Source organism: Homo sapiens, chromosome 2, assembly GCF_000001405.40.
Source record: "Homo sapiens chromosome 2, GRCh38.p14 Primary Assembly".
In the NCBI taxonomy this organism is placed as follows: domain Eukaryota; kingdom Metazoa; phylum Chordata; class Mammalia; order Primates; family Hominidae; genus Homo; species Homo sapiens.
Window position 1 is genome coordinate 84,424,669 of NC_000002.12, and position 23,861 is coordinate 84,448,529.

General features: G+C 38.5%; 1 protein-coding gene across 1 annotated transcript in view; it reads right to left on the reverse strand.

Annotated features, from left to right (window-relative positions):
* Positions 1-23,861, reverse strand: part of SUCLG1 (succinate-CoA ligase GDP/ADP-forming subunit alpha) — a 35,753-nt gene that overhangs the window by 1,141 nt on the left and 10,751 nt on the right. The window contains exons 3-8 of the mRNA NM_003849.4: positions 18,616-18,732; positions 16,579-16,791; positions 16,379-16,436; positions 8,684-8,767; positions 6,840-6,991; positions 747-935 (exon numbers count right to left, since the gene is read on the reverse strand). Of these exons, the coding sequence (NP_003840.2) occupies positions 747-935; positions 6,840-6,991; positions 8,684-8,767; positions 16,379-16,436; positions 16,579-16,791; positions 18,616-18,732 (813 nt within the window). The remainder of the gene's footprint in view (positions 1-746; positions 936-6,839; positions 6,992-8,683; positions 8,768-16,378; positions 16,437-16,578; positions 16,792-18,615; positions 18,733-23,861) is intronic.

A 23,861-nucleotide genomic window follows, 5' to 3' on the forward strand; every position in this document is an offset into this window, starting at 1 on the left:
TTGTTTTTTGCTTTTTGTGTGTGTGTGGCAGGGGTATACCATCATAAAAATAATGAGGGAGAGAGAGCCTTAAATGATCACTCAAAGAGACAAGCTGAAAATCAGTGCAAAGAGATTACAAAAGACATCAAATTACTTAGAATATTTAAACCCATAATGTCCTATTAAAAAAGGAAAAGCAAAACAAACAAACAAAAAACCAAAAACAAACCAAAAAAATGGTTAACAATGGTATCACAACATAGCCAGGGCCAATCTCCCCATCCTCTTTAGATCTCCCTCCACCCAAACTCCTTCTTCATCCAATTTCCATTTCTTGTTACTCAGCCTCCAACCTCCTCTCCCTAGAAACAGAAACCCATGGGGTCAGGGTGGCTATATCCCAAAGGAAAAAACAAGTAACAAAACATAAAGCAGTTCTCTGCACAGCTACCTTCCAAACTCTCAAAATGGAAATCATGACACTTACGATCTTCAAGATGCTTTTTGTGTATGTTGTATCTTGCCACTTACAAAAATAAAAATCCCAATGTTTAAAGAAGAAAGCTTTAAAATAAGAACATTATTCCTGGTCATGCCTAATTAGGGCACTAGGACATCAATAGAGTTGATACAAACTATTAAGCTGCACATCAGAAAACCAATTAAGTCCCAGAAGCAAAGGCCATGATTTCCAGGTATCCAGTGTGGCCACACACAGAGAAAGCCTGCAACCTCAGAGCACCTGGGCCACTGTTGGAGCTCACCTTGTAGATCGTGGTTCCCAGCTGTGCAGGAGACATACTGACCACAACTCCTGCACTCTGAAGGGCAGAGATCTTCTCTTTAGCTCCACCTTTTCCTCCAGCAATAATTGCCCCGGCATGACCCATTCTTCTCCCAGGAGGAGCAGTTAAACCAGCAATGAAGGACACTACAGGCTTGGAATTTGGACCCTAGAAAGAAAGTAATATTTTAAATGCTCTAATGAAGAAGTCAATCAAAACGGGACCTCAAATTCATGACTCTGCTGGTAAATGGTAAATGGCTTGGGCAGGGGAAAGCCCACCATTCATCTTAGGAAAACCAACACAAATATTAAACCATGATTGAAACCACTGCATTCTCCTTTGAGTTAACTTTCCATACAAACTCAGGAATACAACACTGTGCCAATGTCCGTATCTGTTCAATATAAAACTTCCACTTCACAAATACACATGACGCTATCATTTGAAAAGTAAAAGAGCATACTGGAAAATATGATTTGCGATAATAATAATTTAAGACACAAGACTGGGTTGCTTTACTTCAACCTAATATTATGCCTTAATTCATTATTAGTTCACCCTTAATAAATGTGCTAAAAGAAAAAGATGAGGTGGGAAGTATACTGGAAAGGACCTAGGACTTAATTTTCTAGTAACAAAAGCTGCACGACCTTGGACAAGGCTTCTTGAGAACCAGACTTCTGCTTCCTCATCTATGAAATGAAATGGCCAAACTGGATTGATGCCCAAAAGCCCTTTCCACTCTGGAATTCTGTGTCTAAGAGGGAAGATCAGAATTGGTTTTATTCAGCAAAAATCCATTCTAATGTACAATCTCTATATACTAGATTCTGAGGTTTAAAAAAAAAAAAAAAGAAAATATAAAAATGTCTGTACTCTAGACATGCAAAGTAGTTGAAGAAATAATATAAAATATGTATATACCTCAATCCATTAAGAGATACCATAGGCCAGGCATGGTGGCTCAGGCCTGTAATCCCAGCATTTTGGGAGGCCGAGGCGGGCAGATCACGAGGTCAAGAGATCGAGACCATCCTGGCCAACATGGTGAAACCCCATCTCTACTAAAAATACAAAAATTAGCTGGGCATGGTGGCTCGCGCCTGTAGTCCCAGCTACTCGGGAGGCTGAGGCAGGAGAATCGCTTGAACCCGGGAGGCGGAGGTTGCAGTGAGCTGAGATCATGCCACCGCACTCCAGCCTGGCGACAGAGCAAGACTCTGTCTTAAAAAAAAAAAGATACCATAAACTAATATATGAATATATGATTAAGTTTCATAATTAATGGTAATATCATGTTCATAACAGAAGTCCAGAGATAATAAGGAACCAGGTAAAACAGAGAGGACTGAAAAGGCAGAACTTGAGCACAAGTGGAACCTGAGAGCTTTCACTTAGGTACCATCATCTTCCCCTAGACCAGCAGTTCTCAGATCATTTGGTCTAGGGATCCCTTATACTTAAAAGAATTATTGACGATCTCAAAGAGCTTTTGTTGATATGTATTATATCTAATGATATTTAGTATATTAGAAATTAAAACAAATTTTATAAATATTTGTTAATTCACTTAAAAATAACATTTTAACACTTTAAAAACCATTCTAGTGAGAAGAGTTGCGTTATTTTACCACTTATATTTTCAACTCTTGAATGTTTAACTTAATGAAAGACAAATGGATTCTGATAAATGCTTTTGCATTCAATCTGTTGTAGTGTGTTATTTAAGCTGAAGTATAAAAGGAAAATCCAGCCTCACACAGATATGTAACTGGAAAAGGCAGAAGTATTTTAAATGACTGCCTTACAGATAATTGGGAGTATTCTTCTTTGATACTAACCAAATCTCTCAAGTGGTAATTTCTTACAGGTTAGGTGCAATGTTGGAATCTGAAACCATAGCAGTGAACTTTCTGTCCCTTGTTAATTTAAAACTCATTAATCTGTCTTGCACTTTGAGTGATCTTTTAACCACAGTGATTTTGTAACATGCATTCCTCAGTTAGGAAATATGTATGGGTTCACTGAGTTATGCAGATCTTCCAAATGCTGACATGTTTCATCATTTAATAACAACAAATCAGTTATCAGTATCACCATCAAGCTCATTAGAAAAGCCTCTAGGTAGGAGGAAGCTGTCAAGCTCACAGTTGCAGATGCAAATTTTCTAAAATTTTAAATATTCACTTGAAAGTTCAAATGTTATTATTAGCAACAAATACTATCAACTGTTTCCCTTGACACAGCAGGTTTACTTTGTTCATTATTGAGAAGAGATCTGTCTGAATTACCAGTTCGTCTGCCAGTCATTCTTTCAAGTAAAATTGGTGTCCCATGAAAAGGGCAGCTAGTTCAGCTCACAACTCAATTGTGACAATGCTTTACTTCCCATTTTATCACAAAATACTGACTCCAGGGTCATAATTTAATAAAATTAATAATTTGCATTGCTTCATCAAGGACACTCATAAGTGAAACTGGCTTTTTTTTTCTTTGCACTGTGAGTAGTACATGGCAGTGAATGACTGCTACTCTGGTTCGACTGACTGCCCTGATTCCCACTAAGATGCAGCATGCAAGGAGCTACATGGTCAGACACTGCTTACTCCTGCCTCATCTGCCACCTTTCCTCCCTTTCTCCTTATCTTCCAGTAACCCCAGAATGCTCTAGCTCTGTGCCTTTGCTGAGAATGCTCTCCACCCTCCTTGGATGCTTGGCAAACTCCTACTTAACTTTTAAGATCTGACTCTAGCTTCCTCTTCCCCATAAGCCTTTTCTATCTCTCCCTCCCACCCTCCCCACAAATGCCCTCATAGGTGATCATCTCATCAGTGACCCTGTTGTGCCTTTTACACCCTTCTACTATTAAATTCAGCACACTGGCTATAACCTATTCCCCGTGTGTTCTTCTACTAAACTATGAATTCCCTGAACACAGAGGTTATATTTTCACTAACTTCGGTATGCCTGGCACCTACTGTAGTACCTATGGTATAGAATTAAAAAGAAAAGACTCCACAAATTATTTACTCATTCACTCATAAGATCTACATAGAATATGAGAATCTCATGTTTGAGTGGCATTAATTTGTATTTGATTCCACTCCCCTGTTCCCCAAAAAGTGGGAATATTGTTGCACTAGAAAGGATCAAGACTTTGTTGAGCCTAGAATGGCAAACAAATTTGCATCTGTCCCATTAACAAAGAGCCATTGGAGGCTTATTTGTTTTTGTTTTTTAAGTGGAGAGAACTACAACTAAAAGACTATGGGGAAGTGTAGTCTGAAAATAGGACACAAAAATGATGAAAGGTATGTCTAAAAACAGAAAGGCCAGTTAGAATGCTATCAGTGTAGTCTGAGCCTATGCCCAGGATTGATGACTCTTTGTCCTTAACTCCTTCAATCTGACACCTCATCCTTCCATGGTGAAATGGAGAAGTCAGACAAACCTGGGTATGAATCTCACCCCAGTTCGTTTGCTGTATACCTACCATTGTCAAGTTACTAATCTTCCTGTACCAGTTTTCTCATTCATAAAGAAAGAACAAAAACAACTTACCAAAGCATCAGGATAAAAGTTAAACACCAGAACGTTTGCAAATAATTATCATCATTGTAATGATAACAAGAAAGGCAGCAGCAGATCATGTTTATCGAGTGTTTACACCAAGTATTACACTAGGCATTTTATATAATGCAGCATCTGAACTGCTTAACTTACAATCTTGTACACATTAGGTTCTCAATAAAAATTAATTCCATAACAACTAACCAGGAATAGGAAACATGTTGCCAAATGAAACAAAATGTCTATGTTTCATTTTTCCCACTAAATACTAGGCTATTCCAGGGATTCAGAATTGGGCCCAAATACATTTTAAATTCAACTTAACACAGCACAATGCTGTATTAACCGAAACTTTTTTTTTTAAAGAAGTCAGTTTTTACTTATATTTCAAACTGTACAACTTTCTGAACACAAGGGAATCTAACATTTTACTCCAATCCTTAACAATCTACTCTTCCATTTACATGACCTGTATTGGTGCCCACTGTGCCAGGGGACTGGGCAGGGCACTGAAGTTAACAGTTCCCTGCAGTCCATAACACAGTCTAGAGTGAAAGTCAGATACTAAGCATTCCTTGCAGAAGGAACAAGCAAAGGCAAGTGAGAATGAAAACTGGCATGTCAGATGGAAAACTGATCTAAAAGGGAAGGTTTGGATGGTATGTGAAGGACTGGAATACCATGCTAAATCTGCCTTTAGCTGACATGTAATGGGAAACATTACATGGGAAACACTGTCTGATGTGAACCAAGGACAAACAGCACCAATACCCATGTTTCAGAAGGGCAGATAATTTGGGTGGCCATAAACAGAATGGCCTAAGAGTAAAGGGGGGTGGTTGGAGAAAATAAGAGAGATCAAGAAGGAAACCACTGAGATGGTCCAGATGAGATGGGATGAGGACCCAAACCAAAGTAGATGGACTAAGTACAGACAAGGCTCTGAATCCAGACAAACCTCTGATGTCTCAGAGACAGATCTTGGTAACTGAGTAGAAACAGGATAAGAGAGAAATAAAAGTTAGTTCTCAGGTTTCTGCCATAGAAATAGGCACAGAAAATAGATCCAGGGAATGATAAAGAGGAGGAAAACCAGAAAGAAACCAAGAGGATGGAGAGGATGACGAATGAATCAAGGCCACTGGTGACCTCTGTGCAAACACAATGTCAGGAGAGTAAGAAGATTCCACAGCAGCCAGTGGCTCAGTAAGAGTGCTTACTAAGTGCCGGGCACTACTTTGCTATACGTTACTAAGTCATTTAAACTTCGCAGTCCTTACAATAACTCTAGGAGGCAGGCACTACTATATCGTCATTTTTCCAATAAGGAACCTGAGGCAACGAGAGATTAAGCATTCCCAAGGTCATATAGCTTCTAAGTGACAGACAGGAGCCTGATTGCTGAGGATTCAAGAATGAATGAAAAGTAAGGAAAGAGAATGAGAGAATGAGGGTAAACCTGAGTCATATCTAATATGGGAGTTAGGGCTTAAAATCACCACAAAAGAAAATCAAGTATATTCAAAATAGCCCTTGAAAATTCCTTAAAACACAAATAAATATGCCTTGTTTTGTGTAAACCACCCTGTACATGATATTATTGGTTCCTTTAACTCTCCAGTATTATTTTATGTGGCATTTAATTCATTCACTGGTGGATTTTTTTCATACATATAGAGAGAAAGTGATCTCCACTCTCTTGCCTGGTCCCCTGAAGAAAAATTTTCACTCATTCCTCAGTATAAGAGAAATTCTGAAAATCAGTTGCTTGATTTTTTTCCCACAGTTCTCTGACACAACAATGGCCACAGCACAAATTCACTGAGTGGGGGCTGGTGGCCACCACACTGCTTCAGTCACTACCGCACCCCCATCTCTCCTTTCACCACAGGAACAGGGCTTAACTCCCTCAAGCTGAATGAAATGATGACATAACTCAACACTACTCCTTTACATTTAATTCTAAGTGAGAAGCAACAAGGAAAGCCTCCCCAGGACATAGACAGTAAAGCTTTTCTACTTGATCTCTGAAGGGAAGTGCCATTCCACAAGGAAAGTCTAAAACTGGAAGGAAGCCAGAGCCTGAAAAAAAGCACAAGGGATAGGATCTTTAGGTCAGCCTTGAAAAAGAGAAAAAACCACTTATTTCCCTCTGAGATCGGGAGAAAGAATACTGGTCACAGGTGAAAACCAAGTCTGCAGGTCAAGTGCGGGCTCTCGGGCTGATGGCCTGAATGTATCTGTTCAGCAGGAGAACGACTTACCTACCACAAAGTGTGGGGTGATGCCTGGGGAGGAGAGTTCAGAATAGAGAAGCAGAGAATCAACCCAGAAATAATACAGAATTGTCTGAGTGTCCAGTATAGAAGGCCCTGCTCAGAAAGTTTTATCTTTCATGTTTTCTCAAAAAATTCACCTTTGAAAAAATAAAAATAACTTCTGAAACAAGCCTCTGATATTAAGAGCAAAGAGCTATGTTTTTCCAAACCCAAACTTACTGAATTATGTTGCTTCAAAAATTCTGCAGCATTCTCTTCTGCATTACCACCAATTTCACCAATCAATATGATGCCTTCTGTGGCAGAATCGTTCAAAAAGATTTCGAGGCAGTCAATAAAATCTGTTCCATTAAAAGGATCACCTCCAATGCCTGAAAAAGTTGAAAAATATCAATAGCTGGAAATTTAAGGGTGAACCATGGAATTTAGGTCAATAAATGTTTTTAACTAGTTTGTCATTTTTCTTACCCTTCTCTCTTATATTTTTAAATGTATCATTGCTCTTGCATTTAATATTTAAAAAATCACAAAATGCTACATTTATTTCTGTTGGTAATATTATATAAATGCTAAATGGTGGTTGGTTCCTGATATTCTAGGAATATTCTAGGGCTGTAACGAAGACAACCCTCTTTTTGTTTTAGCTCCTTTATCAAGCCTCTTCTGTCCCACAAAATTATTCCCAGATAACTCCTTAGAAATGAACATTTTAAGAAAATGTGTATCTGTGTTGCATGCTGATGTTACACCAGAGGAAAGAATAAACATTTAACAAATTTCTTTGAGTAAAGAAACTATTTGATGAAGTATGCTGCAGATAAATCACCCACAAGTTTTAAGACACAAGTGCCAGTGAGTGACAGTGAGTACCCTGACTGCTCGTGTTCTGGATCCAGAGTGGATGATGACAGAGCATGCATATCAGAGCCATACTACACACCACATTTAAGAACAAATTCATGGACAGGGTTAAAGTAAATGTTCCCTACAGACAGGCTGCCGTTTTTTATTTTTAAATTACAAACTTACTGAGGGCAGGATTGATTTCTTTCTTTTCACTGCATCTCTGAAAAATGGAGTGGAAGAAGAGAACCGGCATTTATTAAGTGCCAACCGTGTGTCAAGTCCTATGCTTTGGCACACGTTAGATCTGTCATTTCCTAATTTTCTCAACTTCTCTGTGAGATAGGCATTATTATCCTCCACTTACAAATTCAAAACTGAAGCTGGAAAAGAAGGAATCGGTAAGCCTGTTTCAAACCTTTTCTTATTCTCTGTCACACTAAAAAGTATCTTCCACTTATATTGTGCTTTGCATGTACAAATGCTCAATTAATGTTTTCAATATTTAATTTATGAATTTGAATCTTAATAAAAACACTCCAGAGCTATATGTTACTTTTTCGTAAAGATAATTCTAAAACATTAACAGGTATTCTAAGAACTTGAAAGAATATTTATTAATATGAAAAGGAGGAATTTGCCTTGGCTTTTGGCAACAAATAATGAAATTATTTTAAAATGTAAAAATTTGTAATTTTTACTTTTTCAAATGGGAGGCAGTATAGTGTGATAAAAAGAGAGGTTCTGAGGAAATGAACCTTCCTCAACCTTGACTTTCTCACCAATAAGGCTCTAACAGTACAATTTTCCAGCTCAGAGGCACCTGAGAGGCTTCCCTCAAGAATGAGACACTGAATGGCAAAGAATTCAGTAACTATAAAGCACTGATGAACATAATGGCAATGATAACAAAAGTCCTAATATAAGGAACCATTTCTTCAGAGCAATCAAACCAAGTGATGTTTTCAGGCACCAAGGTGCTTCGGGAGCCACGTGTTCCAAGATGTTAGTTCTTCAACCTAGAAATGAAATCTTGGACCATGAATCTTGAAACAACTACAGAATAACTTTACACTTAAGCAAATTAAATTTGAGATCGTAACATCCTTTTCATAAGAGTATCAAAATCTTTTGCAAATAATAAAATCAATAATTATTATTATACTCATCCAATGAAGACACCACACTCCAATAAAATGATTTTAGCAAAAGTCCCTCACCAACGCACAAAGACTGCCCCAATCCAACTTGCGTTGTTTGGTGAACTGCTTCATAAGTCAGGGTGCCAGATCTGGACACAATGCCTTAACGAAAGAGAATTCAAAAATATTAGATTGTGTTTCTATGTTAGACTAAAACATGGTAAACTAAATTACCAAACACTTCGAGTGACTAACATAGGTATAAAATTCATTCCATGATTTGCCATCAAAATCAATAGTATCTTCAAACGATGAAATGAAAAGGAAAGGCTTAAATTCAAGCAGGGGGGTTTTTTAATTTAGACAAAGGAGAAAGTATATTATTAGTTAAGGTTATTTTATGACTATAAAAACAATGCAAGAAAGACTTAAATTACCTCTTCTGAGAATCTTTATGAAGAAGCTAGTATCAGTATAAATTTGGTAGGTACTAATCATACCTACAGTGGCAGAATGTAATAGATTAGACTTATACTACCTTATGTAGTCTGGGTATTTGTCCCCTCCAAATCTCAGGTTGAAATGTGATGCCCAGTGTTGGAGGTGGGGCCCGGTGGGAGGTGTTTGGGTCATGGGGATAGATCCTTCATGAATGGCTTAGTGACCTCTCCATGGTAATGAGTGAGTTCTCACTCTGTTCCTTTACATGAGAGCTGGTTCTTGAAAAGATCCTGGCCTCTCTCATTCCCTCTCTCACCATGTGACACGTCTACTCCCCCTTCACCTTCTGCCATGAGTAAAAGATTCCTGAGGCCTCACCAGAAGCTGAACAGATGCTAGCACCATGCATGTATAGCCTGCAGAATCATAAGCCAAACAAATCTCTTTTACTTATAAATCATCCAGGCTCAGATATTCCTTTGTAGCAATATAAAACAGAATAATACAGTACCCAAACTATTAAACCATCAAAACTAGCATTAGTCACATTTTAAAATACTACCTATCTTCTCCACAACTATTTTCCCAATGATTTTCAACCAATATATAGGCTTTAAAATCAATATAAAGAAAACTGGGGAATAAGGTCAAGATCCCTCTGGAATCAAGTCTCCCACCTAATTTCCTTTATAAATGGACCTGTGTGAAAGCACTTAATTTCACATCTGGATTAGGTGTGCGCCGAGGGAGGAGAGCCAGTGGGGGCCAGGGAGGAGTGACAGTTAGATGTCTTCTCTTGTAGTTTACTATGCTTGGCTGAGCTTCCAGAAAGGTAATTTATTCAAAGCCACAATCTATGTAATACTTTAGACAAACAAAAAAATTAATCCAGGGTGTCCATGGTTTACTTTCCTTAAACTCCTGCCTTGGAGCAACTCTGAAGAACTCAGAAGACCCTTTTCTAACAATATGATCACCCTACCAGGGCAGGTAGAATTCTTGTCAACCTGAGACAAAAACCATAACTATAAGTTACCTCAACTTCCGTGCTACATGTTTACACTCTTAAACAAAGTGCTATGTCACCATTATTGTATACTAATGCGTACTAAGTGTGTGACCTATGCATAAACACATCTTCTCACTATGAATTTGGGCACACAATAACTTCAGGTTCTACATACCAAATTCAAAGTCAAATTCAAAGAATGGTGTGTACGTAACTTAGTCATTGCTAAGCAGACCCTACAGAACACTGTCAGATTGCTCTTTTAGATGCATTTCACTAGACAGTGACAACTAAATCCTCGACGATGCCTCACTTCACGTGGAACTCTGCTCTAACTCGCCAGCCCAGCAGAGTCCCAGCTTCCCTCTCCAGACTTGTTTCTTACTATTTCCCTACCTAGTGAAACTGGGTTATTCCTCATTGATATTTCATGCTCTCCTATCTTTTCATATTTGTTCTGCTTAAGATGGAGTGTTTCACCTCCACCATCTGACAAAACTTCTAATCATCCTTCAAGGTCCACATTAAATGCTACTTTCTCTTTGAGGTCTTTCCTGATCACCCCCAAAGAGAAGTGAGATATAATTTCCTTCTCTAAATCTCCTCAATGCTTTCATATTTCCTACTGCCCTCATTACTAAGAAATAAGCAGAAGTTATATCTTCCCTACCACTGTGAGAGTATTTCTGGGGTAGAAACAACGTCATTCATTGAATGGTTCACTATTAGCCCTAATGTTACCATAAGACACGTAAGAATGTTAGGCAGATGGCCAGAAACAAGCAAGCAGGGGAGCCCTGGGAAAAGTCCTGGAGGCGCTGCCTGCTGACCGTCTGCAAGAAGGCAATGACTACACAGTAGGCTTTTGTTCATTATAATAGTAAAAACCACATCCCTGTGTGGAGATTTTAAATGCTAATGAGACATGCGAGGTGTATACTAGCATGTACAACTACAGAGCATGTAGCATGTACACACAAGGAGACTGCTTAAAACATGGTTGCAACTGATACCCTCTCATGCCCCCCTCATGAATAATCATGCAATATTCTCATAAAGAGGGTCCCCCAGCATTAGCTGCTGCTAGCTCATCCTCTCTTTCCAGCAGCCTGTTCTGAATCATCTCTCAGGGTGTGCTGTCTCTTTAAATAAACACTGCCACTACTGTTTTCCAGGAGGTCAGCCAGCCAGTCAGCCGTTCCTCTCTTTGAATGCATTTTATCTTCCTTCAATAAACTCTGCTACTTAACCCTTGTTGTGCATCTCTTGGTTGAATTTTTTCTTCTAAGAAAACAAGAACAGCAGTTCTTGCAGTACAATTCCAGTACCTTCCGGTAACAAGAGGGCTCATTTCTTGTCAACTCTTCTTGCTCCTGAGGTCAAGGCAGGTACTGATGGCAAATACTGAGGACAGAGGGAGGATCAAGAAGAGAACACTGAATGGCCTACAGCAACCTACAGGTAATTATTTTTTTCTAGTGTTACAGCAAACACTACTAAGTTTGAGGTCACTTTTAGGTAATGCTAACTTTCAGCACTGTTAAGAATTATATTAAAATCATAATAATGCTTTTTAAAAAACAAAAATTTTATCAAGAGCAGAAATCCTGAAAAGCTGATCTAAAATACTGATTCTACCTAGCTTTAACAGGCAGATATTTATATTTGCCTTACAGAAAGACTGCCTTGGGATGGAACGAACACAAACTTTTTATTCAGAAGGCAAGACAGTGCCTCCGATCAACAGCTTAACATCTCTAAGGAGACTACCTGCTGGCCTGAGCCCTGCCCTCGAATCTGCCACATAACATGGCCTCCTACTGCTGACACAGTAAAATGGAATGATCCATCTGTAAAAGGTCCATAAGGAAAAAAGGGAAGGATAAATTTCAAGTTTTAATTTTTATCTAATAATCTTGGCTTGGCAAAATAAATTCATAGTCAGGCTTGATCAACCAGCCTGAAATTTGAATATCCTGACCACACACTGATTCTCCAATTAAGAACAATGTTCTCCTACCACCTGGTTCAGTAAAAGACCACCAATGGTGCTTGAGATTCTATAGCAGCTACCTTCTTCACTAGACTATAATTTTCAATGGGTCAATAAATAAGAGTCTTCACAACCCCTATATTCCCAGCTTAAAGCACAGTTCCAGGCACAGAAGGTAAACATATATGTTTACTAAGTGAGTTGAAACTGAAAACTCATCAATGGAGTAAGACCACCCTCTTAAGTGAAATTTAATTTTAATAGTTTTAAGATTATTCACTTACTGAACCCTAATGCATAACAAATGACAACCACCACAACTTCCACCCCACGTATGTCTCATTTATCACTTTTCCCCTATTCTCAGTGCCTTTGTCCCATCCACATCCTCTGTCTTCAACACGGTCCCTCCCCTCTATGGGACATTTCATCATTGAGAAGATTAGGTGGATAATGCCTACCTACTTATGTAATGGTGTATTCCTATCAAAATCCCAAGAAGAGTTTTTATAGATACAAACAAGATACTTTTAAATAAATATGAAAAAGTAAACTGGATATCCAGCAAAGTATTAGTATCTAGAACATACAAAGAACTGTAAAAAATAAACCATAAAAATGTAAACAATCCAATTAGAACATGGGCAAAACCCAAGGAGGGGCATTTCACTGAAAAAGATAACAAATGGCAAATAAATTTATTTTAAAAATCTATAAAAAGATAATCAATATCATTAGCCATTAGGCGAATACAAATTAAAACTACAGTGAGCTATCACTAAACACTTACCAGAATGGCTAAAATAAAAACACAGTGACACCACCAAATGCTGGCAAGGCTGTAGAGAAACTGGATCATACATTGCTGGTAGACATGGAAAATGGCACAGCTACACTGGATAGCAATTTAGCAGTTTCTTAAACTGGATAGCAATTCAGCAGTTTCTTAAAAAACTAACATGCAAGTATCATACAACCCAGCAACCATGCTCCTGGACATTTATTCCAAAAAAATGAAGACAATGTTCACACAAAAACCAGTATACAAATGTTTATAGCAGCTGTAATTGTAATAGGCCAAACTGAAAACAACCCAGATGTCTCTCAACAGGTGAATGGTTAAACAAACTGAAGTACATTCATACCATGAATACTCCTCAGTAATAAAAAGAAACAAACCATTGATACACAACAAGCTGGATGAATCTCTAGAGACTTATTCTGACTATAAATAGGCAATCCCAGAAGGCTACATTCTGTATGATTCCACTTATATAACATTCTTGACATGACAAAATTATACAATTGGAGAGTAGATTACTGGTTGTCAGGAACTGAGAAGGGGGTGGAAGCAGGAGGCACGTGACTAGAAAAGGGTAACATGAAGGATACTTGTGGTTATAGAAAAGTTCTCTATATTGACTGTATCAATGTCAATATCCTGTTTATGAAATTATACTACAGTTTTGCAAGATGTTAACCATTGGGCTAACTGGATAAAGGGTGATCTGTCTGTATTATTTCTTACAACTACACATGAATTTATAGTTATCTCAATATAGGCAGTTTAAAATTTTAAAAGAGGCCAGAAGAGTCAAGTATGTGACATGTGGTTGAGAGTAACAAACTGTCTATCATAAGAGAAATAAATAACATGGTGCAGTTAAATATCATCAATTTGGAATCCAATCACTTTCTTCGATAACACTCAATTAGCAGATATGCAATTATATTAGCTGTTATTAACAAAAACTGGAAATCCATTACACTATTATACTGCTATTACATTACATTATATTCCATTCAGAAATATCCAAGGGACTGAAAAGTCCTTCCTTTCCCTTAACTCTCAACCTAAGGATCTGAAGTCAAGGAGGCTATTGAGACTATTAGCAATGGTACCAAAATAGGAAGAGTTGGCACAAATAACCATCTTTCTCTCCTCACCCCCTCAAAAATCTTGTAGTGTTGAAAGTGAAGCCAGCTGGACTTCCTGGGTTGAGTGGGGACTTGGAGAAATTTTCTGTCTTACAAGAGGATTATAAAATGCACCAATCAGCACTCTGTAGCTAGGATTGTAAAACGCACCAATCAGCGCTCTGTAGCTAGCTAGAAGTTTGTAAAATGCACTAACCAGTGCTCTATAAAAACCCACCAATCAGCGCTCTGTAGCTAGAGGTTTGTAAAATGGACCAATCAGCAGGACACGGGCAGGGGACAAATAAGGGAATAAAAGCTGGCCACTCCAGTCAGCAGCTGCAACCCACTCAGGTCCTGTTCCATGCCATGGAAGGTTTGCTCTTTCACTCTTCACAATAAATCTTGCTGCTGCTCACTCTTCAGGTCCATGCCACCTTTAAGAGCTGTAACACTCACTGCGAAGGTCCGCGGCTTCATTGAAGTCAGCGAGACCAAGAACCCACTGGAAGGAACCAACTCTGGACACAGTGTCACATATTTTCTTCTTTTTTTTAAAAAAAAAAAAAAAGTCCTTTTTCAAAGGAATTAAAAGCAGTCTCCCAGACGACTGTCTCATCAATGGGTTATGACCATTCACAAAGGCAAGGTCTAAAGGACTTCCCTGAACTTCTCTTGATTTTCATTTTTTAGGTTTATGCTCACCTTAGAAAGCAGAGCAGTGATCAGAAAGGCAACTCAGCACAGAGCATTCCTTCCATGCTCACCTTAAGACCACAGCCTTCAAAACAGACCCAAGAATATAAGAAATATTCAAATATGTACAAGAGCATCAGTGATACATGGATCTGGCCCCACTGGAACTCAGATGGCCTATGGAGCTCCCTGAAATCTCTCTTGTAAATGAAATTATCAAGTACTGCCACTGGCAGCAGGGCTGACAGCTCCAAGAGACATTGGTAATAAAGAAAAATCATGATCTTTAACCCAATTCTGTAAACTGCACAGCCGACACCCACTGTGACAATTAATTACCCTTATTAGTAGCCATGGTTTATAGATAGAGAAAAATATGGTCAATCATCTTTCATGACTGAAAAACAGTATAGTTTAGAGAAATTTTGGTGTAAAGCCTAAACACAAGCCTAATGTGGCTAACTTTGAAATGTTACTTTGGCTATTTCCTCAAGGAACTAACCAAGTAGCAGGGCAATTTTCCTGACAGGCCATCTGAGTTCCCTTTCTGATCACTGCCCTGCTTTCTAAGGTGCCTACAAACCTAAAACATTTTGAGAAAGTTTGTGATATCTAAAAGAACAAGGTAATTATTGAGCAGGTATGTGAATGGCCTTATAAGCACATGAAAAGGTGCTCTACATTATTAGTCATCAGGGACACTCAAAACCACAAGAGATACCATTTTACTCTCAGTAGAATGGCTACATTTAAAAAGGCTAATAGCCGGGCATGGTAGCTCACGCCTGTAATCCCAGCACTTTGAGAGGCCGAGGCCAGCAGATCACCTGAGGTCGGGAGTTCGAGGCCAGCCTGACCAACATGGAGAAACCCGTCTCTACTAAAAATACAAAATTAGCTGGGCGTGGTGGCGCATGCCTGTAATCCCAGCTACTCGGGAGGCTAAGGCAGGAGAATCACTTGAACCTGGGAGGCGGAGGTGGGGGTAAGCCGAGATCGAGCCATTGCACTCCAGCCTGGGCGACAGAGCAAAACTCTGTCTCAAAAAAATGAAGACTAACAATACCAAATCTTTGTGAAGATATGGAGCAAGTGGAACTCTCCTACATTAATGGTGAAAATATAAAATGATATAGCCACTTTGCAGAACTATTTGGCAGTTTCTTATAAAGTTAAATATACTTGACTTATGTTCATATGAACATGACTTAGCAATTCCATTCCTACACATTTTGCCCAAGAGAAACGAAAATGTTTCCACAAAAAGACCTGTACACAAATGTTGACCTAAGCCTTGTTTGTAAGGCTCAAACATGAAAACAACCCAAATGTTCATTAATGGGAGAATGAATAAACAAACTGTGGTATAATTATACAACAGAATACTCCTTAGCAATAACTAAGTTATAACAGTTAATGAAATTAACTACTGATATATGCAAACACATGGAGTAATCCACAGAGTGCTGAGCAGAAAAAAATCTTTAAACTCCCACCACCAAAAAAATCTTCACTGATTCTGCAGAATTGTAACGGCTTCTCAAATAAACTCATTATATTCAAGATACAGAATTGATAGACTACAAAACTTCCCTGGTAAATTCTACTCAAGTCAAATTAATTAAACTTGATTTGCAAAGTCAAAAATTCTTTGTGAGTTTTGAGGGTTTAAGGCAAATAACGTTTTAATCTATAAGAATGTAACAAACAAACTCACCAATCCTTCCTTTTTTGTGAATATGGCCAGGCATGATGCCAATTTTACATTCTCCAGGCTGAAAGTAATCATAGTTTTCAGAAATGTTAAAAAAAAAAGTCACTCACAGGTCATACACACAAATACACTCGCATTCACTCAAAGCTGTTTAGCCTTGTGAGAGGCTTAATCTGAGTTTCTTTTTGTTTTTTTGCACTCACATTGATGACTCCAGGGCAGTTGGGCCCAATTAGCCTTGTCTTTTCCTGGCGCAGCAGTTTGTGCTTGACTCGTACCATGTCCTGCTGGGGAATTCCTTCAGTGATACACACAACCAAGGGAATTTCTGCCTCAATAGCTTCATTAATGGCAGCAGCAGCAAAAGGCGGAGGAACATAAATGACAGAAGCCGTTGCTCCTGTCTGTTCTTTGGCCTGAAACATTAACGACGAAGCACCTTATTATTTGTTAAATCATAAACATTGTAAAATAAATTCAATACCATCATTTTAATAATGTCTTGGGGTAAGAAAAGGACACTACCCAGAGACATAGCATTCTTCCCATTCTCAAATTTGCTACACTGTCAGAGTAGAACAGAATCAAGCATAGCCCTTTCTCAGCCCATTTGAATGCCACTGTGAATTGAAAGCTTCTGTGACATCTCACTCTCTATGGCATGTCAGTAAATCTGAAAGCAGCCTGACAGTGAACAGAGTCAAAGAATGCCAACATATCATCCACAAATGATGCCGGGGGTTAAAAATAATTTTTTAAAACTCTGTTCAAGATGATAACAGAGGGGGAGACACAAAAAACATTAAAACTAGTATGGAATCAAAAAAAGTCACATCATGGGGATGTAGGTACTTTAATGAAAAGTACCTACATTACATAGTTTTCTACCTCTAAAGTCTACAAATACTGCCAGAAGCTATACTGTGACAACAGCAAATATTGTGCTGGGACGTCATATGGATGAAAGGTACCAACCCTACTCATTCAAAAAGCCCTTTGTAAGAGCAGAACGGGTGAAAAATAAACAATATCTGTCAAAAAACTTATAGAATATTCCAAATGTCACAACTATTTGTGTCACTATAAATTATAAATGGATTGCTTAGCAAGAAGAACTTTCTTTAAAAAAAAAAAAAAAGCAAAAAGAGGCTCATGACAAAAGAAAAGTCAACCTAGAGGAATTGTAAAAAAACATCTCCTCTCTATATTTTGAGGTTATAAAATCAGCCATAATAGAATTTAAGGCAGGAAGGACTTTAAATTTGTGCTTTAAAAAATGTAATGCTTTAAAACATACCTTAAAAATATGCAAAAGAAGAGAGGAAGAATACATTTAAGGCTGATCAACACATCATCCCAAAGAACTAAGTTTATTTCCTAGATTTTTAAAATTAAATACCCAAGAATTTACACTATAGTTTCTTTTAAATACTATTAGTTTTGTATATATTCATATAAGAGTCAAAAGAGAATGAAAGACTACACACTGAGCTTAAATTAGCTCCCTACAGAGGCAAAATCTGAGATTTCGAAAACACTGTAAAATTTAACTTTACTTACTTTTTGTATCGTCTGAATTTTTACAAAAAGTACCTATCAGTTTTGTAACAAATAATAAAATTTAATTTAAAAATCATTTTAAAAGGTAACTATTAAGAAATCAGCAGTTTGCGGAGAATCTAGGACACTGTGATTTGTAAATCTGACTCTACAATTTAGTTTCTTCACACGGGACCACTCTACTCCAAGCCATCCTAAGCCTGCCACTTAATCAGTTGTGAGACCATGGGCAAGATCTCTAACCTCTTTGCACTAGTAACATCGTTATCTTTAAAATGAGGATGATAACAGCACCTACCTCCGAGGGTTGTAGTGAGGCCTGAACAGGGCAATTTGAATGAAACACCTAGCACAGTGCCTACTGCATAGTCCCCACTCAGGAAGAATTAAGGGGTGGTTGCTGACATTTGTACTACTAACATACTGGAAGAAGAAAGGTAAGGAAAGCGTAAAAAGCCCAACAGAAGCCTGGCCACAGTACTTCCTCCCTTAATAGCTGATTCATACCTAGAAACAAAAATAACACACTGGTTTTGATGGCAATTCAAATTTCTCTAGGTTACTGAATTTTCAAATAGCAAGTGACTCTACCAAAAAAACATAATTAAGATCTCTACCCAAAGAATGCTCGCTCTTCCCTTGCTTTTCTTGTCTTGCCAAACTCAGGTACCACTAATTACCTCCTTCACAGTATTAAAGACAGGTAAGCCCAGATGTGTCTGGCCTCCTTTCCCTGGAGTGGTTCCTCCAACGAGTTTGGTGCCATATTCCAATGCCTGCTGGCTGTGAAAGGTGCCCTGAGGGGAAAAAGCACAAGATCCATGAGAAACAGCAGACTGGTAAGCCCAAGAGAAGCAAAAGCAATCTTAGCAACTTAGGAAAAGAAAAACAAATAGGTTAACTATTCCCAGACAATAACATATATTTACTAAACATAGCTTTGAATCTTGAAGCAAAACAAGCCTCTGAAAAGCCAAAATAGCTATAAACAAGGCCTCTTTGATTCCCTGTTTTCAAACTTGGCTGATAACCAGAAACTCCCTGTTTCTCAACTCCTCATGTGCTCACACTCCTCAGTTTAAAATTCATGGTAGATCATTACCCTCCCACAACAATCTTGGCTTTCTCTCACTTCAACTTAAATATCTGGCAAAACCACAACCTGGGTCAAATCCAATTTTTCCCCTACTTCTAAGCCTATACATGTGCAGCCAAAAAGTGGCTAAGGGAAAAAAAAACAAAAAAACATGTCAACTGGTCTCATTTTAAATTAATGATCACTCACCTTAAGTAAGCCTTCAATACTGCCCACCCACCAACCTGTATTTCTCTATCCATTCACTTTTCCTCCTCAACCTCAGCATTATTGACATTTTGGACAGGATGATTCTTTCTTATGAGAGGTCATCCAGTGCCTAGTGGGACATTTAGCAGCATCCATGGGCTCCACTCATTAGATGCCAGTAGCACACCCTCCTAACTCTCATAATTCCATCCAGTTAATGACAACCAAAAACAGCTCCAAGGACTGATTCATTTTCACTAGGCTTCTGGGGCTTGACTTCCCCTGGTTTTCCTCTTCTCTTTCTCTCTCCTTAGTATTGGGGGAAATTCAGCCAGATATTGGGCAAAATTCACCCCCGATATTTCACTTAGGTTCTTTTCCATATTCCCTAAGTGTCAGCTGGTCTGAGAAATAAAGGGACAGAGTACAAAAGAGAGAAATTTTAAAGCTGGGTGTCCGGGGAAGACATCACATGTCGGCAGGTTCCATGATGCCCCCTAAGCCGTAAAACCAGCAAGTTTTTATTAGTGATTTTCAAAAGGGGAGGGAGTGTACAAATAGGGTGTGGGTCACAGAGATCATGTGCTTCACAAGGTAATAGAATATCACAAGGCAAATGGAGGCAGGGTGAGATCACAGGACCACAGGACCACAGGACCGGGGCGAAATTAAAATTGCTAATGAAGTTTCCAGCACGCATTGCATTGATAATATCTTATCAGGAGACAGGCTTTGAGAGCAGACAACCGGTCTGACCAAAAATTATTAGGCGGGAATTTTCTCATCCTAATAAGCCTGGGAGCACTACGGGAGACTGGGGCTTATTTCATCCCTACAGCTGCAACCACAAAAGATGGCCGCCCCCCGAAGTGGCCATTTTAGAGGCCTACCCTCAGGGATGCATTCTCTTTCTCAGGGATGTTCCTTGCTGAGAAAAAGAATTCAGAGATATTTCTCCCATTTGCTTTTGAAAAAATATGGCTCTGTTCCGCCCGGCTCACCGGTGGTCAGAGTTTAAGGTTATCTCTCTTGTTCCCTGAACATTGCTGTTATCCTGTTCCTTTTTCATGGTGCCCAGATTTCATATTGTTCAAACACACATGCTCTACAAACAATTTGTGCAGTTAATGCAATCATCACAGGGTCCTGAGGCGACATACATCCTCCTCAGCTCACAAAGATGATGGGACTAAGAGATTAAAGTAAAGACAGGCATAGGAAATCACAAGGATATTGATTGGGGAAGTGATAAGTGTCCATGAAATCATCACAATTTATGTTCAGAGATTGCAGTAAAGACAGGCGTAAGAAATTATAAAAGTATTAATTTGGGGAACTAATAAATGTCTATGAAATCTTCACAATTTATGTTCTTCTGCCGTGGCTTCAGCCGGTCCCTCCGTTCAGGGTTCCTGACTTCCCGCAACACCTTAGACTTCTCTTTTTCATCTAAATTCATGCCCTTGGTGATGTCATCCCTTATCATGGCAATACATATCATCCATATGGTGACCCCTCCCACATACACAAAGACACATACACCCCACATATCTAAGCCTTGAACTCCATATTCACATTGTCAACTGCCTACCTGACACCTCCACTTTGAGAACTAGCAGGCATCTCAAACTCAACATGTCCAAAACTGAGTTCCCAATCACTCCCCTCCATCTACCCCATCTCAGTTAAAGACAACTTCACGCCTTACAGATAATCAGACCAAAAATACTGAAGCCATCCTTGATTATTCTCTTTCTCATATGTCCCATATTAGATCCATTAGTAGAGCTTATTTCTCTATCTTCAAAGTATAATTGACAACTCCTCCCCCTTCTACTGCTATCACCTTGGTCTAAGTCACTTCAACTCTTGACGGGTTATTGCCCTTGCTCCCCTTCAATCTAATCCCCACAGCAGCCCGAGTGATCTGGTCAAAACATAATGAAGATCACGGCACTCCTCTAATCAAACACTCTGATTGTCTTAGATTTCAGTCAAGTAAAAGCCAAACTCCATATACTGGCCTACAAGTCAATTTACAAGCTGTCTCCCCACATCAGAATCCCGTACCTGCCTACTTATTACACTCCAGCCACGCTGGCCTTGTGGCTTCCACACAGCAGGCACATGCCTGCCTCATGGCCTCACTGTGCCCTCTGCATGGAATATCCTTCCCTAAGATATCCACTTGGTTCACTCCTACATCTCCTTAACATCTTAGTTCAGAGATCAGACTTCCCCTGACCACCTGATATAAAATCACCCTCTCCTCCATCCTAACCACCAGGACTACACACACTCCTCCTTTCCCCGGCTTATTTCTTCCATAGCAATTATACTTCATAACATACCACATAATATACTCATTGATTTTGTTGATATATTCCCCACCAACCACTAAAATGTAAATTCCATGAAGACAGTGATTTATGTCCACTTTGTTCATTGCAATATGACACCTAAATCAATATACAGTAGGCATTCAATAAATAGCTGTTGAAAAATGAACGAATCTATGTGATCATTTCAAGGACCTTCAAAATGTGGTCCCAACTATTCACGTTCTGTTAAAGGAATAAAAATCAGGGCCTTAAGAAGGACCTCAGAAATTTTCTGATTCAAATTCTTTTTCAAAATAGGAAACTTGGCCCCAAGCATGTTAATTAATTTGTCTAAAGTCAGGGGCAGGGTTTTGAAAGAACCACAGGCCAGTGCTCTCTCTCTCTTAAAGCAGTGCTATTCAAAGTATAGTTTGGAGACTCTTGCTGCTCTGCAATGAGATAAGAGGAAAAAGAAAAACAACAAAAAAAGGAAGGAAGGAAGGGAGAGAGGGAGGGGGAAAATCTAATTTTTAAAAAAGTAAAAATGTTTGCAATTTAAAAAAGTAAAAATGTTTGTATGACATTGCTACAGCTTTTACTGTATTTTATAAAAATATTGATCTACATTAGACTGAAAATTAAAAACAAGCACCTACACTGGTTTTTTGCTACAGACACTGAGAAGCACTGCCCTAGACTACACTGCCAGGTAAATTCAGAAGTACCAAATTTTAATCCTAAAGTAGTGCTAAACAGGAATAACACATCTATTCAAAATAAGCTTATGTTTCTTAGTTTTACCATCATCACCAGCCAGTACAATGTTAGGAACAGTAATCATTTTAGCAGCTTATAAACCCAGTAAAAGAAACAAGATGACACCCACTGGAAAACTGCATTGCTGAAACATACTCTAAAAATGCAAGGATTTTTAATTCATATGTGGAACAATGTGTGTACTGAGAAAACAAACTAATGAGACAATATGCAGATTTACTGTGGAAGTAAGTTCTAAACTTCAGACCTCACCATTATCTCTAAAATGAATCTGAATCAACAAACCTGAGGCAATTAACACTCTCACTTACTTTAAAAACAACAAAAAAAAGGAGAGTGAATGAGAAACAATGTTAACTGCAGGTAACTGAAAAACGCTGTAACTACCTCTGGATTTAAATATTTAGGCAAACTATCACCTTATTTAGAATATAGAGACAGTTCTGAATAGTGCTTACACCATGGGCAATGGTTCTTACAAAAAAGCTCACAGCTTAAAATGTCACATAATCATATAATATTTGGCAAACAGAAAAAATTATATATAATAAATTTATGTGGAGAATTTGGGTTAATCAAACATTTGATTATATGCTAATCATATTAATATATAACAAAAAACAGGCTGGATATAACATCAACTGGGAAGGGGATAATAGAATGCACTTCAAATCTTGGATGAAGATCTACTTTCCTTAGAATGTATATAAGGGAAGTGGCATACATAAGATTATTTAGCTATCAGAATAAACATTTTTTTTTGAGACAGGGTCTCACTCTGTCACCCAAGCTGGAGTAAGTGGTTCAATCATGACTCACTGCAGCCTCAACCTCCTGGACTCAAGTGATCCTTCCACCTCAGCCTCCTGAGTAGCTGGGACCACAGGCATGCACCACCACACCCAGCTAATTTTTCTGTTTTTTTTGTAGAGATGGAATCCCACCATGTTGCCCAGGCTGGTCTCAAACTCCTGGGTTCTAGCAATCCTGCTGCTCTGGCTCCCTAAAGTGCTAGGATTACAGGTGTGGGCTACCACATCCTGCCATTTTTACAAGGAACAAAGTTTCATGGTTTTATGGGTGTTTCATTTTTTGATATTGGATTTTTTTTTTTACAGTAATAGAGGAATGGAAGAAGAAAAAGAAGGTCCACTGCAACACATTCGTGTGCTCAGTTATTTCAGAAAAAAAAAAAAACAAAAAACAAAAAACAAAAAGCAAAAGGACCATTTTACATGAAACAATCTGCTAACTGCAGTCTATAGGATTTGGCCCACTACCTGGTTTTGTAAATTAAGTTTTATTGGAACGCACCCAGGCCCATTCATTGACAATATTTTCTATGGCTGCTTTTGCTGTTAAAATACTTTTGAGTAGTTGTAACACAGACTGTATGACCCACTAAACCTAATATGTTTACAATCTGGCCTTTTGCAGAATATGTTTACTGACCTCTGCTCTAGATTACCAAAATACTGAAGAATTGACATGACAATTCTTTTAATTACAGAAAAATCATTAACCTTAAATTACCAAAAAAAAA